The 17,664-nt window shown below is 36.5% G+C and overlaps 1 annotated feature.

Annotated features, from left to right (window-relative positions):
* Nucleotides 16,639-16,808: an enhancer, noted in NCBI's record as "experimental_105610 CRE fragment used in MPRA reporter constructs". NCBI's record gives its function as "activates a minimal promoter by MPRAs in K562 erythroleukemia cells, with activity observed for both the introgressed and non-introgressed 9:113902157 variant alleles {active_cell/tissue: K562}" and the evidence as "EXISTENCE:reporter gene assay evidence [ECO:0000049][PMID:34662402]".

Raw genomic sequence — 17,664 nt, 5'->3', positions numbered from 1 at the left:
ATTATTAATGTATGGGAATGTAATTAACTTTATATAGTGACCTTTTATCCAACTATCTTCCTAAACTGTATTGTTTTCTCTGATCATTTATTTGAAGAGTTTCTTGGAGTTTCTAGATGGAAAAAAACTATCAGAAAATAATTATTGTTTTGTTTCTTTCTCTACAACCTGCATGCCAGTTATCTTTTCTTCTTTCCTTACCCTTCTGGCTGGGGTCAGTACAGTGTTGAATTGAATTACTGATAGTGGGTATCTTTGTCACGTTCCTGTCTTCAAAGGGAATGATCTAACTTCTTGCCATTTGGGGTGATTGTTGTAAGTTTTCATTAGATTCTGCTTATCAGGTTAAGAAAGTTCATTTTAATTTTTATTTGCTAAGAGTTCTTTAAAATTGTGAATTATTTTTGAATAATAAAAAATAAATTTTCCCCATCCATTGAAATATTCATTTCTTTTCTTTTGCTAAAGTAGTCGGATTATACTAATTAGGTTTTCTGGTGTGAACCCATCTGAAATTGGACTCAATGCATTATTTATTTTATACGTTGCTGGTTCAATTTAATCATAATTGATGTAGGTACTTTTAAATTTATGTTTTAAAATAAATCTGGCTTATTTTTCTCACAGTACTTGAGTATGTTTTTGGAATCAATGTTATATAAGCATCATAAAACAAGTTGGAGGCTGGGCGCTGTGGCTCACACCCGTAATCCCAGCACTTTGGGAGGCTGAGGCAGAAGGACCACTTGAAGGCAAAAGTTTGAGGCTGCAGTGAGCTATGATAGCAACACTACACTCCAGGCTGGGTAACAGAGCAAGACCCTGTCCAAAAAAAAAAAAGCCATCTGGAAACTTCCAGCCACAGTTGCACTGCTGTAGTCAACACAATGTAAGGTAGAAATAAACTGTCTATTCTGAGCCCTACCAAAATTTTGGAATCATGAGAAGCAGTAAATGATTGTTTTGTATTAAATTCTAATGTGTCCTTGGGTCTGTTTCTGTCTCATCATTTAGTATGATTGTATCATCTGCCTTCTCTGTTTATATCTCATATGGTTCTTAATATTGTTTCATTATATTTTAGAATCTGTTAATGCAATTCTCCCTGCTTATTCTTGTTGTTCAAGATATTAGAGCAGGAGTCTCTGAGCCTACTCTGGCTCAAGAGATTACCTGATCAAAAAGAAAAAAAAAATTATCGCTATTACTGTCTGTTTTGCTTTCAGGTGAATTTCAGAATGGTTTTGTCAGTTTCCTAAACCCTTTGGAATTTTTATTAGAATTGCATTAAATGTGTAGATTATTTTGGGAAGAATATTTGCAAGATTTTCTTTACAACATGGATTGGTCTTTTCAATATCTTCAAATATTGTTACATTCCTCAATAATCTTTGTAGTCATTACATATTTCATGCAATCACGCATTTATTCATTCATTACTAATCCAGAGGGCACAATTCTTTTTTTCTTTCTTTTTGTGAGATCAAGTCTTGCTCTGTCGCCCAGGCTAGAGTGCAGTGGCACAATCTCAACTCACTGCAACCTCTGCCTCCCAGGTTCAAGCAATTCTCCTGCCTCTGACTCCTGAGTAGCTGGGACTACAGGCTTGCACCATCACGCCTGGCTAGTTTTTGTATTTTTAGTAGAGATGGGGTTTCATCATGTTGGCGAGGCTGGTCTTGAACTCCTGACGTGAAGTGATTCACTCACCTCAGCCTCCCAAAGTGCTGGGATTGCAGACGTGAGCCACCATGCCTGGCCACAACTCTTATTAAGCTCAAATTTGTAGCCTACTGCTATCTAGTGTACAGGATTTTATAGAATGTGCTTCATGTATTAATTCTGTCACCTGGTAGTAGTTAATCTCTACTTTTATTTCTCAACTTCATACATTTTTCTATGTTTTATTTTATTGTGATACCCGGAATGATACTGTGTACACTAATGGCTGAGCCTTTATACTCCCCTCTTCCTTGGTCATTGAATGGCCAATCTGAGGTTTCCCTGAGAAGGGTAAGACCTTGGGCAAAGCAACTCTAGGCAGCTGAGGCTGACCCTGAAGGAGGTGTCAGCTGGAGGCTCACCAATGACCACATTCCCCATAGCTGGGCAGCAAGTCCTTTCTTGAAAGGTGACCTGGGTCATGCATTGCTGTGTTCACCACAGCCTGGTTCTGAGAAACTTGGGAAAGTCACATCCCTGGCCCTGTCATGTGGGATGGATGAGGTGGTTCTCTGTAATATCTGCCCCTTCTCATTGTTCCAAACACTGCATTTTTCTCAACCACAGCTTTTCCTCTTTCCCCTGATGGGTGTTTATTTAAATTGCTTTAAAGTCACTGGAGTAGCTTGACTTAAAGCTTTGATGTAAAGTGTGCCTGCAAGACCCTCAGCATGTAGCTGTTCACACATAAGCCACAGCAAGACACAGCTGTGACAGGGGAAGAGGCCTCATTGCTGGCCCTGGAAGGAAATCCCAATTAAATTGCACTCATGGTTTTATATTTAATGAAAACCGCTTGGTGTGCTGCTGTCATTGTTTCATTTTTCTGTGGTGTTTTTGGTGGCTTGCAGTTTTGCATGCAGTTCCCAACCTCTGAGCTTTCTGTAGGTAAATAAACCTGAAATTGTATTAATGCATTGTTGGCTGCCATTTCCATTTGTCTACACCCAGAAGCCATCTCTGCTGTTTTCAATGAACTTTTTGTCCTTGAAGCAAATTAATCAAACTCAGCTGGTGTCATCATTTTAAACCCACAAGAAAAACAAAATTATTTTTCTCTTTTTACATTACCTGCTTCTCCAATCATCTCAATTAAGTTCTCCTTGGGACCATCTGTCTAGTGGAAGACAAATGGAGAAATGAATATGAGTAGCAGAACTGCAAACAGGTTTTTATGAAAAGAAATTATATAATTAAACAAAGTGATATGCTTTGAATTTTCAAAGAAATATAAAAACCTATTTACAATCAGATACTCTCAGCAACTAATTTAGAGCAGTAATCTGAGGTCAAAATGTTTTAAACACTCCCAGATCATGGCAACTGTTTATTTTAACAATGCTTACTTAGAGTTGGTGCTACCAAATTTGCTTTTAAAACTCAGTGTGTGATATATCCTTTCCTAGTATTCCATTGGAGTTTTAATGGTATAGAAAACTAGATAAGGACCCTAAAACCAGATAAAACTAAATTAATAAATATCATGCAAACTATGGATAATAGGAGAGCATGTTTCAGAAAATAGAACTAACTTCTACCAGATGCAATGACACAGAGGCTGGATTGAAACTAAAAGATTATAACCTATACAGACTTCCTTACTAATGCCATTGAGTACTGCAAGCTGGAAAATAAAGCAGAGAGATATTTTGATTTTCCACTATCTGGCCTTAACTCTGAAAAACAAAAGATTTACTGGCCAGAAAAAGGTCAGTTTCCCTCCTGACCTCATATATGTGAATTCTTTTGTAAGAGTGTCAAATATGCTTTCCTCCCTCTCAAACTTTTATTCCCCATCAGATACTCAGATTTCTTTCTCTCTTTCCTTTTTCCTTTCCTTTCCTTCTTCCTCCTCCTTCCTCCTCCTCCTCCTTCCTCCTCCTCCTTCCTCCTCCTCCTTCCTCCTCCTCCTCCTTCCTCCTCCTCCTGCTTCCTCCTCCTTCCTCCTCCTCCTCCTTCCTCCTCCTCCTCCCTCCTCCTCCACCTCCACCTCCTTCTTTCTCTTCCTACTTCCTCCTCCTCCTCCTTCCTCTTCCTCCTCCTCCCTCCTCCTCCGCCTCCTTCCTCCTCCTCTGCCTCCTTCTTCCTCCTCTACCTCCTCCTTTCTCCTCCTCCTCTTACTACTACAGTTGCATAGTGTTTGCTTCAGGTAAAGAAGTTACATGTCAGGAAAGAAAAAGAATATTGAGGGTACAGGGAAGGCTTCCATGGTAGTATATCTGAACAAAATAAATCTTTAGACTGCACCGAATTTTCTATTATAGTCTGAGGCCTGGAGTTACACTAAAAGTCTCTGTGCATTAGTCTTTCTGAGATAGAGATTTAATCAGGATGGAAATAAATGGAAGAAGAATGAAAATAAGCTACATATTCTGATTGTAGGCAAAAATAAAGTCTGAATGAACATCTTGTTTAAGCATGAGAAAACAGAATAACATGAGGTCCATGAAATATTCTTAAATGTGCATTTTAATACATTATAACACAAACATTTTTAATGTTATCATTTACTTTAAGTATATTTTAATTATTATATTACACAGAATGGACAGTTTTTTTAGTTATTCCCCTGTTGTCAGATATTTAAATTATTTTTCTCACTAACAGAAGATATAATAACCAATTATTATGAAAATTATAAATTTTTAATTTTTAATAAAAAATTCTATAATTTAAATTTTGTTAGAAAATAGTCATAGAGACTGGGCATGGTGGCTCCCAAAGTGTAATCCCAGCACTTTGGGAGGCCAAGGTAGGTGGATTGCTTGAGCCCAGGAGTTTGAGACCAGCCTGGGCAACATGGTAAAACCCTGTCTCTACAAAGAATACAAAAATTAGCTGGGCATGGTTGCATGCACTTGTGGTCCCAGCTACTCAGGAGGCTGAGGTGGGAGGGTCACTTGAGCCCAGGAGATTGAGGCTGCAGTGAGCTGAGATCGTGCCACTGCACTCTAACCTGGGTAATGGAGTGAGACCCTGTCTCTAGGTAAGTAAATAAGAAAATAGTCTTAACATGGAAATTATTGGTAAATAACTATGAGTTTTTAAGGAATCTTGCTACATACTATCAAGTTTCTTCCTAAAATACTATTGTACTTTTGGCCACCATCCCTTGTGGATGAAGAGTGCTCATTCTGATGGACAGTTGCCAGTAGAGGGCCTCTTGTGTTTGTTTTCCTTTAATAAAACAGCTGAAAATTTACATATTATCACTGTCATGATAATTTATCATAATTCGTTATAATTTATAAATTATGATAATTTGTATATATCTGTTTAATATACTGATGCATTATGTATGGATATAATATATCTATTATACATAATATATAGATATATCCATATATTATATCAATATATAATATAATTATACATATATATTATCGATGTAATATATAATGATATATATAATATATGACATATGATATATAATGATATATATGTGATATATATCATGGATATATATTTATAATTATATAAATTATGTAAATATTTAAATATAAATTTATATATTTGTAAAAATTTATGTTTATAGATTTTTATATAATTATAAATATATTATAAATATATGTAAATATTTAATATAATGCATAATATGATTATATAAAAATATGATATAATACATATTGACATATAGATATATATCACATATATCATATATCAATGTCATATATCATATATTGACATATATATCATATATACTGACTTATATATCAATATATATCATATATATAAAACCTTGAAAACCATAGCATCTTCAGTATTTTTGAAGGCCTATTTTTTATTATTTAAATATTTATGATCTAATATTAATAATGTATTTTTTTTTCTTTTATTTTGAGACAAGGTCTCACTCTGTTGCCCAGGCTGGAGTATAGTGGTGTGATCACAGCTCACTGGAGCCTTGACCTTCTGGACTCAAGTGAACCTCCCATTTCAGCCTCCTGAGTAGCTGGAACTACAGGCATGCATCACCACACCCAGCTAACTTTTGTATTTTTTGCAGAGATGGGGTTTTGCCATGTTGACCAGGCTGGTCTTGAACTCCTAGACTCAAAGGATCTTCTCATCTTGGCCTCCCAAAGTGCTGGGATTACAGGTGTGAGCTACTGTGACTGACTGTATGTAATAATATTTTAAGATAGGTACTACTTATTATTTTTCCCTATGTGTAAGTATTTTAAATGTTAAAAAAATTTTAGGATAAGAACTATATTTTGTTTTGCTAATAAGCAGAAAAACAGAGACTTAGAGAAGCAGAGCTAGGATTCGAATCAAGTATATATGACTCCAAAGCCCAGACTCCTATTCATTAGAGCACAGTACTTTAATAAGTTCACATCTGTGAGTCCTTTTCAGAGTCATTAAACTCTGTTTAGCTCTCAGCATTTTGTATATTTTGGCTTGTTTTCTTTTAAATACCATATGGCTTTTTAAGAATGGAGATATAATCTTACAACTAATCACTATCCTAAGAAAATTAATAAATTTTGCTGAGCTGATAGTAAGAGTAACTGATAGTAAAAGTGACAGTAATTGGAAACATTTGTAAGATATTTCACATTTCGCAAACTGTTTTTCACATGTCCACATTTGCAACATATTGTGAAACAAAAATATAGTTTACGAAACAACATGTATTGCTGATGCTAATAAGTTTTCCAAAATTCATACAATGGTGAGGTTATAGGTAATTTTTAATTTTTATAATTTTTCTTTATTTAAAAACTGTAGACTTACGTATCCTTTTAATAATAATTACATTTAATCTTTTATAAATTTTTACGGCATCCTAAAGAGATTGAAGGTAAACACCAGACTTAACATTTTTAAAAAGTTAAATATATTTTTATGTATAGAACTTCTGTGATTTTATCAGGAACACATTAGATGCCTGTAGTTGAATGGCCAAAATTTATGACATTCATTTCTCATAGCAATCTGAAGTAGATACGATAGTTATTTTTTTTTTTTTTACGAATGAAGAAACTACAATTTAGAGATGTTTGAATGATTTTTCCCAAACTCAGACAATTAATAATTTATGAAGCCAGAACTAGAAGAAACATTTTCTAAATATGAACAAGCAGCTGTAGACTCTTAACCCCATTATTATTCCATATTGAGGGCCAAACATAACCAAATAAAGCAGCTACGGTCCCCTGCAACCAGGAAAATGAGGAGAAAATGCCCTGGAGAAAATGAAGTCAGAACTTGGAAAATCAAGTGGTGATGGGATCCCCGTAGGTTGCTATCTGCTGATGGGTGTGCCCTTTCACAGTGGAGCCAGGGGTGTCAGGACACCCTGAAAATCCAGGGGTGTGGTACTCATGGAAAGAACAACTCTAGCTGGCCTCTGGCCTCCCATGCCGCAGGGCCAATTCTTGCTGGGTGTGCTCCAAATTACCCCAAAAGGTGACAGCAACAACTGTGCTAGTGTGTCAGCCTTGGAGCCAGGCTTTCTCCTGACTCACATAAACATGGCCCAAATGTGCAGCTCTAGAGCCAAGCCTCTGTTCCCTACTCAAAAATTCTGGATAAACTAGTTAGTTCTTTCAAATCCAGTTGCTTAAAATGACTTACCTTGCTTTACATATGTTCATTTCTCTCCTGCGTCTAGGTAACAGCTCTCCTATGAAGCAGTCATTCTAGAGCACTTGTTAAAAACTCCTGTTCTAGAGTGGCACTAGGGGGAGTCAGGCTGGTTCCTGAGCTTGCTCAGGTTCTGCTGTGATGTGTTGGACAACCAGATGGGCCTAGGTCTCATCTTCACTAATATCCAGAGAACTTTGCAATTGGAAAATAAATCCAAATACCCCAAGTGATGTAGGTTGAGATGTACCAGTGTGGGATCCGGGATGTGAACTAGGGAAGTATTAAATTCTAAGTCAGTGCTGGTAGTGGATATGGAGAGGTTAAGCTTCCTTGTGAAATACTAGATTCTGGGGATGAGAAGGGGAGCAGATAGAACCCAGGAAATTTTGGTTGAAATATTAAGATGGTCACAAGACAGAGTTGGAATTACAAAACAAGAGAGGCAGAAGGAAGTGAAAAACTGAGTGGTATTTAGCAAGTAAATGGTATTTAGTGTCTTGTTAAGTGTGCAGAAAAATGTGAGTATGCTTGTAGTGTTTGTTTGTTTAATTTTTTGCTTTGATTTTAGGCCGTTTAGCATCCATTCCAGTTTCTTTTGGTAATAGCATCTGAATTTCCATTTGGAAATGATCTTTCTCCATCGTATACAGTCTAATGGGCAAGGAAGGCCAGTTGGAAATTATCTGTCTGAAATTTAGATTATGAGCAGAATGATGAAAGTCTGTTAATTATTGGCGTTCTTTCATGACCGCATCACTCCCTGGGGCAATGCTACACTTCCTGCCACTACACTCTCTGGAGCAGTCTAGTTTCTGTATGTTCTGTGCCTCGTTTCCTTCAATCCTGTGAGTCCTGTGAGCTCCCCTACATCTTTCCCATAAATTCCCCATTTGCTTAAGTTAGAGTCAGTTTCTGATCACAACCAAAGAATCTTCACGAATACTCTCATACTCCAGATTAGGTAAAGTAATTGAAGGTGAACCTTGTGATGTTCACAGTGTTAGCAGTATACCGAAACAACATAGCCTGTTCTGTTTTTGAGAGAATGAAGCTGTAACGCCAAATATTTAAAACGGTCAGGAGTGGAGGAGGTCACTGGAGGCTAATATAGCAATGTAATATAGTTACTGCCTAATTTATTTAGAGTTCGGCCTGAGGATGTGAGTTGATTTCTTTTTCCCTCCAGCATTTTATTATCCAAAATTTTCAAACATATGACTAAGTTGAACAAATACTATGATGACCACCCCCTATGCCCATTATCTACATTGTATTATTAAAATTTTACTATGCTTGTGTTGTCACATATCTATCCATCTAACAGTCTTTCTATCCACCTAACAGTCTTACTAGCCATCCTCTTTTTGTTTATGCAATTCAAAGAAAATTGCAGACCTTAATATACTAACGTTACTATTTTGTATCATGAGTATCATCAAGAGTTAAATATTCGTTTATAATTTTTTTCTTTTGATGTAAAATGTACATACAAAGAAATGCACGAATCTTCATGTTAATTTCCTCAGTTTTAACAAATGCATCCATTGGTGTAGCCCAAACCCCTATTAAGATATAGAACATGGCTGAGTGCAATGGCTCATGCCTGTAATCCCAGCACTTTGGGAGGCTAAGGTGGGCGGGTCACAGGGTCAGGAGATCAAGACTATCCTGGCTAACATGGTGAAACCCCGCCTCTACTAAAAATACAAAAAATTAGCCGAGTGTGGTGGCCCGTGCCTGTAGTTCCAGCTACCTGGGAGGCTGAGGCAGGAGAATCGCTTGAACCCGGGAGGCGGAGGTTGCAGTGAGCCGAGATTGCACCACTGCACTCCAGCCTGGGCAACAGAGCAAGACTCTGCTTCTAAAGAGATAAATAAATAAATTAATTAAAATAAAATAAAATAAAAATAATAAATAAGATATAGAACATGACTTTTGCCCAGAAAGTTTCTTTTGCTCTTTCCTAGACAATGTTTCTTCCTCCCCCAAGGTTAACCACTGTGATTTTTTTCCAAGGGAGCTTACTTCCTGTAATGGGGAAACAAGTGAGCCGACACGACAGCTGCCTGGGCCTCTAGTCATGGGGGTGCTGAAGCATTATTGGGATTGTAACTGATGGACAAAATCTTAATTAGCACTACTGTCAGGGAGAGTTCTGTAGGTGGCTGGAGGGTGTTTGCTTAGATAAGCACTCTGGATGGATGGAATTGTCTTCTAGGAAGCGTGCTTGAGTCATAGTTGATGGGTCTCTGGTCCAGGGACAGTGCAGAAGAGGCTGAAAATTGTGACCCTGGTCCTCCCGGTACAGCAGCACTTAGCCTCGTTTTTAAGTAAAGGTCACACACAGACCTAATAATCTCTATTTGAAGGGACACAAATGATTAGCCTACCTTTAGTATCAAATTACTGGCCCATAAAGATCCCCAGATGTCTCTGGGCATGAAGTGAAATCAAAACGTGGCAATTTTGTTCATGTCACTTTAATTACTAACAGGGAGACAACACACCAGGTCTTAACTCATCCATTTGCTACAGAAGGCTTAACTGAGAAGACTGGAAATGGGGAGGAAGAAAGGGTGGAGTTATAAATTCACAGATGGTAGACTCTGGACATTGGAAAGGGATGGGCTGGAATCTGAGGAAGACAGAATATTCTCCCCTTTCTCTGTTCCTTTTTTCCCAGGGAAGGTCCAGGAGGGTCTGTGGTTATCATGAATTGGTGAAATTTCAGATTCTGATATTTTCTCTCGCTTTCTTTGCTACTATTTTCTGCCACAGGTCACAGGATGACCAGACCACTTCACATAATTCTATTTTAAGCTTGCCCTGTATGGACAGGCAGGCTCCTTAGTTTTTTCAAAGGGTGATCTTTACCTGGAAATAAAAATGTATGCAGTTGCTCAGTATTAGGGCACTGCCCTTTTTCTTCTGGAGGTTTATCATTCATGTATCCCACAAGACTATTCTCTTTTTGGTATTCCTCCTTAAAAACATTCACATGGCTGAATCAACATGATATGTAGGTCTCGGGATTCTGAGCTCTTTAGAAACACCTGTTGGGAGGGCTGAAAATGGGACTCTGTGGCTACCTGGCTGCCACATATCCCTAATTACCTTGAGGATTTTAGTTTATGGCCCAAAAAACCGTGGGTGCAAATAAGAGACTTCATCTATATTTTCACACATAATTTTTCTTATGAAAGTAAATTCACCCTACCAAAAAAAGTAGAAAAATTCATAACCTGTCACCGTAACAACTGTCATTAGCATTTTATGTTAGCTCTCCATATGTTTTATAAATTTGACATAAGCTTATTACCTCTGTATATTTTACATTGTTTTTACATCTATTCAATCAAGAATTTTCCCAGGTTGCATCTTTAAAATCATGATTTTTCTAAGAGTTCCGAAATATGTCGCTCAGCTAACATGTGATGGGATGTTTAACTGTTTCCTATTCCTGGGCATTTTAGGTTATCTGCATTTTCTGCTGGTATAAATTGCACTGTGATGGACACTTTTTTTTCACATAACATTTCCATGTGTTGGCACTTGTGTACAAGTATGAAAGGCAACTGCTGCTAGGAGCTATTACTGTTTGCTAAGGAAGATGTAAGCCCTACCCTCAACCTACATAAGAATAATAGTGAAGAGTGCATAGTAAAGAACAATTAATGAAGGCTAAGTAATAAATAGATAGTGAAGATAGTAGAATGTCCCACTGGTGCAGTGGTGGGCTCCTCTCCATTCTATCAGGAACCCTGAGCCATGGGAGTGTGTTTTGCAGAGAACATACTATTGTCCTCATGCTTTTTAATATTGTAAATTATTAAATACTTTTAATTGCTTAGAACATTATTGGCTATTTTGCACTCATGTTGCTGCCTGTTTTGCTCATCTCTTCAAGTTTTTATGTGATTCCAAAACTTTTATACTGTGTTAATGGTTTAAATAACATGTTTTTCCTTATCACTATTAATCAGTGTTATTCCTATTAATATATTTTTGTTTATTATTCCAAAGTTTTAAGGCATTTTTGTTAACCCATATTTACTTTTACTTTTTTCATGCTTTCCTCTATATTTTTTATTAATTTAAAATGTTCCCATTAAGTAGAATTAGAAGAGTTACACAAATATTTTGTGGCTCTCTGTATATATTACTATGTAGAAAGTTGCCACATTTGTTGTAGCTTCATCTATATTTAGCATTTTCAAAAAAGAAGTTATTAATATCATGCATTTAGAAATAGAGCTTTAAAACAGTAATCGTAGGCGGTGCAGCAGGAAGACACAAAAGCATCTGGAAAAGTAGATTCTGTCTCCTTGAGTGCCTGTGACAAGAATTTATTGGTTTGTAATCCAAAGGTTCCTGGCCTCTACAGTTGTCAGAAGTAGCACTTCCCTTTAACTCTAAATGAAAGGATCCATGCCCTCATTATGTCTGACCACAGTCCCAAGGTCTCTGAGACTCCCTGGAGAATATACCCATGTCACCAGGTCAGTCCTGGTTTTTACTGTGTGCTTCGGCCAGCAGCCCCACTCTGGCCTGCATCTCTGATCTTTGGATAACAATGTATTATTTCTTCACTGGCTTCCTTAGGCCATGATTACTCTCCCTATACAATTTCATTCCAAATATGCACATGGGCCTATCAATTAATACTCAGAGCTCAGCTAAGATCAGGCTATAACAATTAAACGAACTCTACTAACAATACAAGAGAACAAAAGGAGATTTGCCATATAAAAGAAAATCCTGGATACTAAATATGAACATTTCCAGAGTTCACAAGCCAAAACCGATTCCTCATTCCTAGGATCCTCCAGAGAATCTATCTTTTTACTCTCTGTTTGCAAGTTGCAGGAACTGGTTCACATCTCCTAATAGTGGGTCTTTGACCTTGCACCCTTCAAGGGAGTCCAGGCCCCTCTGTTCTTCCAGGACCCAGCCAAGGGAAAGATCCATTGTCCCCTCACTACCTTTTAGCCCAATATCCTAACTTGAAAACAAATAAACATCCTGCAACGTCTGTTTCTATAAAAATAAAAAAGAAAACAAACAAAAATATGTAGGTAACATCAATTATCTATAACAAAGCCTCCGTAAATTTGAAAGAGTAGACACTAAAATACATAAAAAGATTGATTTTTAAGAATATATTAAGCAAAACACTTATCCTAAGGAAATTCTAAAAAATATGAAATTTCTTGATTCAAAGTACTATATTGAGTCAAGTATTCAAAATTGAAATATAACTACTAAAAGTGAAAATGAGAATAATATGTGATCAAATAGGTATCATAAGTCACACATTGTGGTTGTGTAACCAGAAAACTCTAAAGAATAAATCAAAAAATTATCAGAATTAATAAAATAGTTAAGTAAAAGGCCTGAATTAAGGAAAACCTGTGCAGAATTAAGTGGTTTTTAATTATTTACCATTATAGATAATTAGGAGGCATAAGGAGGAAATGGGAGTTTATAAAAAGAAAATAATAATAATCTGGAAATCCAGTGAACAAAGTTATCAAATATACTAAATTATTTAAAAATTAACATAAAGGTGGAATCCTATTTATGCATTTATCCTTTAATTCCACAATTATCTTTGCCGTGTCTATGTTGCAGAGACATTTACCACTGAGTGTATATCAGTGAACAAGACAGATATAGTCCCTGCCTTTAAAACTCCCACCTACGTGAGGAGGCATGCATTTTTAAAATTGGCATTTTAAATAATTATATGACAAATTAAAACTGTGATCATTGCGATATATAATGTAGGGGGCTACCTACACATATGGAAAACATGAGGTGAGAGACAGTGGCACATTTGAGGAATTCAAAGGCAGCTATGGTGGCTCAGTGTCAAGAAGAAATGGGAAAAAATGAAGTGGAGGGGTAGAGAGAGGGAGGTCTTAAAAGATGTGGGGTCTTGTTGACTGTGTTAAAAATTTTGACCTTATTCTAAGAGTAATAGGAAGGCACAGAAAGTTTTTATGAGGGTTTGGAAAAATGTGAATGGCAGGAAACAATCTATACATCCAACAGAAGGGGGAAAACTGTAGAAATTATAGCCAGAGCTAGAATATTTGTCATTACTAAAAGTGTTTCCTCAGAATTGTTAATGATATGGACAAAATGAAGGTAACTAAGATCTAATATGGAGTGTGGCATCAACTGTGTTAATATATAATTTGTGTATAACATATTTTCTACGTGTGTATATATGTATATATTTTCTATGTATGTGTATATATATGTGTATATGTAAGTATATATACATATATACATACACAAACATGCATAGAAAAAGTTAACAGTGGTAATCTATGATTTGGGGCTTCCAGTGAATCTTATTTCTTTGATATTTTTCTGGGTTTTCCACATTTTCTATAATGAATGTGCATTAATTTGACAAGTCTAGGAGAACATGGTAATTTTATTTGTGATCTCTTCTGAATTGGTAGCTTATCAACCGATTTATTTCTGGGCTACAAAAGGTAAATGGCCGGGTACAGTGGCTCACACCTGTAATCCCAGCTCTTGGGGAAGCAGAGGTGAGAGGATCACTTGAGCCCAGGAATTTAAAGCCAGCCTGGGCAACATAGTGAGACCCTGCCTCTATTTACAAAAGAAAAAAATACAAAAAATAGCCACGTATGGTGATAAGCTCCTGTAGTCCAAGCTACTCTAGAGGCTGCGGTGAGAGGATCACCTGAATCAAGGAGGTCGAAGCTGCGGTGAGCCGTGATTGTGCCACTGCGCTCCAGCCTGGGTGACAGAGCAAGACGCTGTCTCAAAAAAAAAAAAAAAAAAAAAAAAAATTAAAGTTTCAGTTAAACTTTATTCATTTACTTTTTTGTTATTGTTGTTTAACTGAGTATGGATGAATCTAACACATTTGTGTACATGATTCCCACATCTGGTAATTTGGTAACTGTACCTTAAGAGGGAACAGGTATGTACAGAAAGGAACACAACAGTTCTGAGACTGCTATCATTAGAAAGACCTGCTCGCAAGGTAGGGCCTTGACTGGTGTCTGGAAACTTGAATTTTTGGAAGGTTCCCACCATTTGCAGAACTGGTAAGAGTGGCTTGCTGTGTCTAGACGGTTTATACAACCTACGTGGTGTATGCTGAACACATGCTTTTCTTCTGGAAGTCTGGAGTTTTGGAACATGCTAGGCAGAAGGTAACCACTGTGACCAGCCCCCAGTAAAAATCTTGGGTGCTGAGTTTAATGAGCCCCCTTCATAGATAACATTTCACACATATTGTCACTACTCGCTGCTGGAGGAACTAAGTACACCAGGTGTGACTCTAATGGGAGATAATTCTTGAAAGCTTGGGCATGATTTCCTCTGGGTTTAGCCTTGATTTTGCTTTGATATTTTTGCTATAATAAATTGTGCCATGAGTATAGGTTTATGCTGAGTCCTATGAGTCCTCCTAGCAAACCATTAAACCTTGGGGGTAGTCTTGGGGACACCCCCAACACAATAGCCACCTAAATTTTCATGTTGTTGGAGCTTTTATTCCAGAATTACATTTTAGTTGACTATTAATAAACATTTAAATGTGGCTGGGTGTGGTGGTTCACACCTATAATCCCAACATTTTGGAAGGGTGAGGCAAGAGGATTGCTTGTGTCCAGGAATTTGAGATCACCCTGGCAATAAAGCAAGGCTATATCTCTACTAAGTAATAATAACAATAAGTCATTTAAATATAAGAGTTTAAGGAAACATGCTGAATCCATCATTTCAGTAAAAGATGGTATTTATATAGTTTTTATTTTATATTTTAAATATTGATGGATTGAGACAGGGTCTTGCTGTCGCTCAAGCTGGAGTGCAGTGGCATGATCATGGCTCATTGTAGCCTTGACCTCCTGGGCTCAAGTGCTCCTCCTGCCTCAGCCTCCTGAGTAGCTGGGACTGCAGGTATGCACTGCCATGTCTGGCTGAATTCCTAATTTTTGTAGAGTCAGGGTCTTGCTATATTACTCAGGCTGGTCTCAAACTCCTGGCCTCAAGAAATCCTCCTGCTTTGGCCTCTCGAAGTGTTGGGATTACAGGTGTGAGCCATTGTGCCCAGCCATATTTGTATTTGCATATAATACAGAAGTAGTAGTTAAACCTGTGCTTATAAGTAGCTATATTACTCACTTGGCTGGGCATTGATGATTCACGATCATAGTCCTGTTGTGTTTGAAAATGAAAAATGTCTAAATAACTTCCAAATATTATGCAGTTCATCTAAAACCAAGTAATTCCCACTTTATACTTTACCATATTTTTCTATTTTGCTTCAAGTTATTAGAATTCAACATAGTATATAGCTTTAGCTTTTTGTGTGTTTTGTTGCTAAAACATGTTTATTGTCAAAAGTAAGCAACATATGAAAACATGCATTACCCCACTATACAGTAACAAACACTGCTAACATTTCTGCATACATCACAGCCATCCTGTCTCGTATCCTGTTCAGTTTTTTGTCTTTTATGCACATACATACAATATTTTTAACAGAATTGGAATGTGTGTATGTATTTCTGCTTTGTTTCACTTAACATTAAATTGTGAATATCTACATGTCAGAAAATATCCTTTTAGGGCAAAATCTCATTTGCCGCATAGAATTCTATCTTATGGATATTCTGTATAATTTACCAGTCTCATCTCATGATACATATAAGCAATTCCTCAATTGTTAGTATTTCAACAATTAACATACTTGATTCAGATTTTCCAAAAATTATATTTTAAAAGCATTCTAGAGGTATATAAAATTCAAAAAATATAAAGATATCAAAGATATAAAACTACAGAAGGTTGTATTCTAAAGAAAATGTTATTGAATATTTACATAATCCCAGAGAAAGAGTTTTTAGGCATGACTTCAAATAATGACAAATTATAAAAATTGTTAGATTTTTTGCAGAAGAAATAGAAACATACTTGCTATAGAAAAAGACAATATGTAAAAAGGTTAAAATACAAATGACAAACTGAGAACAGAGAAACAAAGAAATTGAGAAAAACATTTGTAATCCTTATAACACATGAAAACTATCAGCCATAGCTTACATATTTACCAGGAAAGAAATAAAAGCAATTGATAAATAGAAAAAAAGAATCAGTAGGGAATTTGCAATGGCCAAGAAAAATATAAGAATGTCTTCAATTTCATTCTAGAAGATAATAAAATGTAAATTAAGATAGCACAAATACATTTATCCTGTCAAACTGTCAGTAAAAAATTATAAGACCCAATATGAATATGAACGTCTACACCTTCAGCAAGGTTTGTGACATGACTTCTCTGTCACGCTTATGACCAATGCAAACAAACAGTCTTACGCAAATCTAAAAGTGGGTGTTAGTTTTAACTGCCGATTGTTGGACACTATTCTAGACTATCGAATTTGAATCTCTAGAGGTGAGTCTAGGGAATTTACAAGCTGCCCAGGAGACCCTTAAATGCATTGAGGTCTGCGCACCTTTGGGCTAGATGCCAGAAACGTGAAGGAAACTAACAATGTAGATGGTGATTTTCATATTATGCTGTAGTCTGTGTTCCCCAAGATATCCCAATAATCATTTTCATCAGTGACTTAAATGATGATCTAAAGATCGTCCCTTTCAAATTTTCAGATATCACAGAGCTGGCAGAGTTAATGAGTATCTTGGACAATTGCACCAAATGCAATGGATTGGGATCACTAAATCAAGACGTAATTTGATAGAAATAAAGGTAAGGCCACTTTATTCCAGATACCAACTGCAAAAGAGACAAGATAATAGAGAAAGTTTGGGCTTTAGCAGCACTAATGATTGAAAAAGTCACAGGGCTTTAGTTAGTATCAGTCAACTTTATGAATCAGCTACCCAGAAAGGCTAATATGATTTTAGGATGCACTACTATAAATGAAGTAACTAGAATGACAAGAAAATTGACCTTTATTTTATGCCAATCATTCCACATCAAATGTGCCTCAGGTTAGGTGCCAAACTCTAGGAGGCTATTCATAAATTAACCTATATTCGGAGAAACCAACAAGTCTGAAAAAGGGACTTGAAATCATGTATACGATGATACATTGAAACAAGAGATTTTCAGCCTGAAAGAGAGTAAAGTAGCATTGGAAAAGAAGAAGCATAGTTGGAGTATTTATTTCTTAATTTGCTTTTTCATGATTTATTGCTTTATAATTATAAAAGTCACATGGTTGTCCCTGGGTATCCGGGGTGGGGGGCGGATTGGTTCTAGGACCCTCATGAATATGAAAATCCATGGATACTCAAGTACCTGATAGAAAATGGTGTAGTATTTGCATA

This window comes from Homo sapiens, chromosome 9 (assembly GCF_000001405.40).
Source record: "Homo sapiens chromosome 9, GRCh38.p14 Primary Assembly".
NCBI classification, from domain to species: domain Eukaryota; kingdom Metazoa; phylum Chordata; class Mammalia; order Primates; family Hominidae; genus Homo; species Homo sapiens.
Note: the sequence above shows the minus strand (reverse complement) of the source record. Positions and strands in the feature narration are given on the sequence as shown.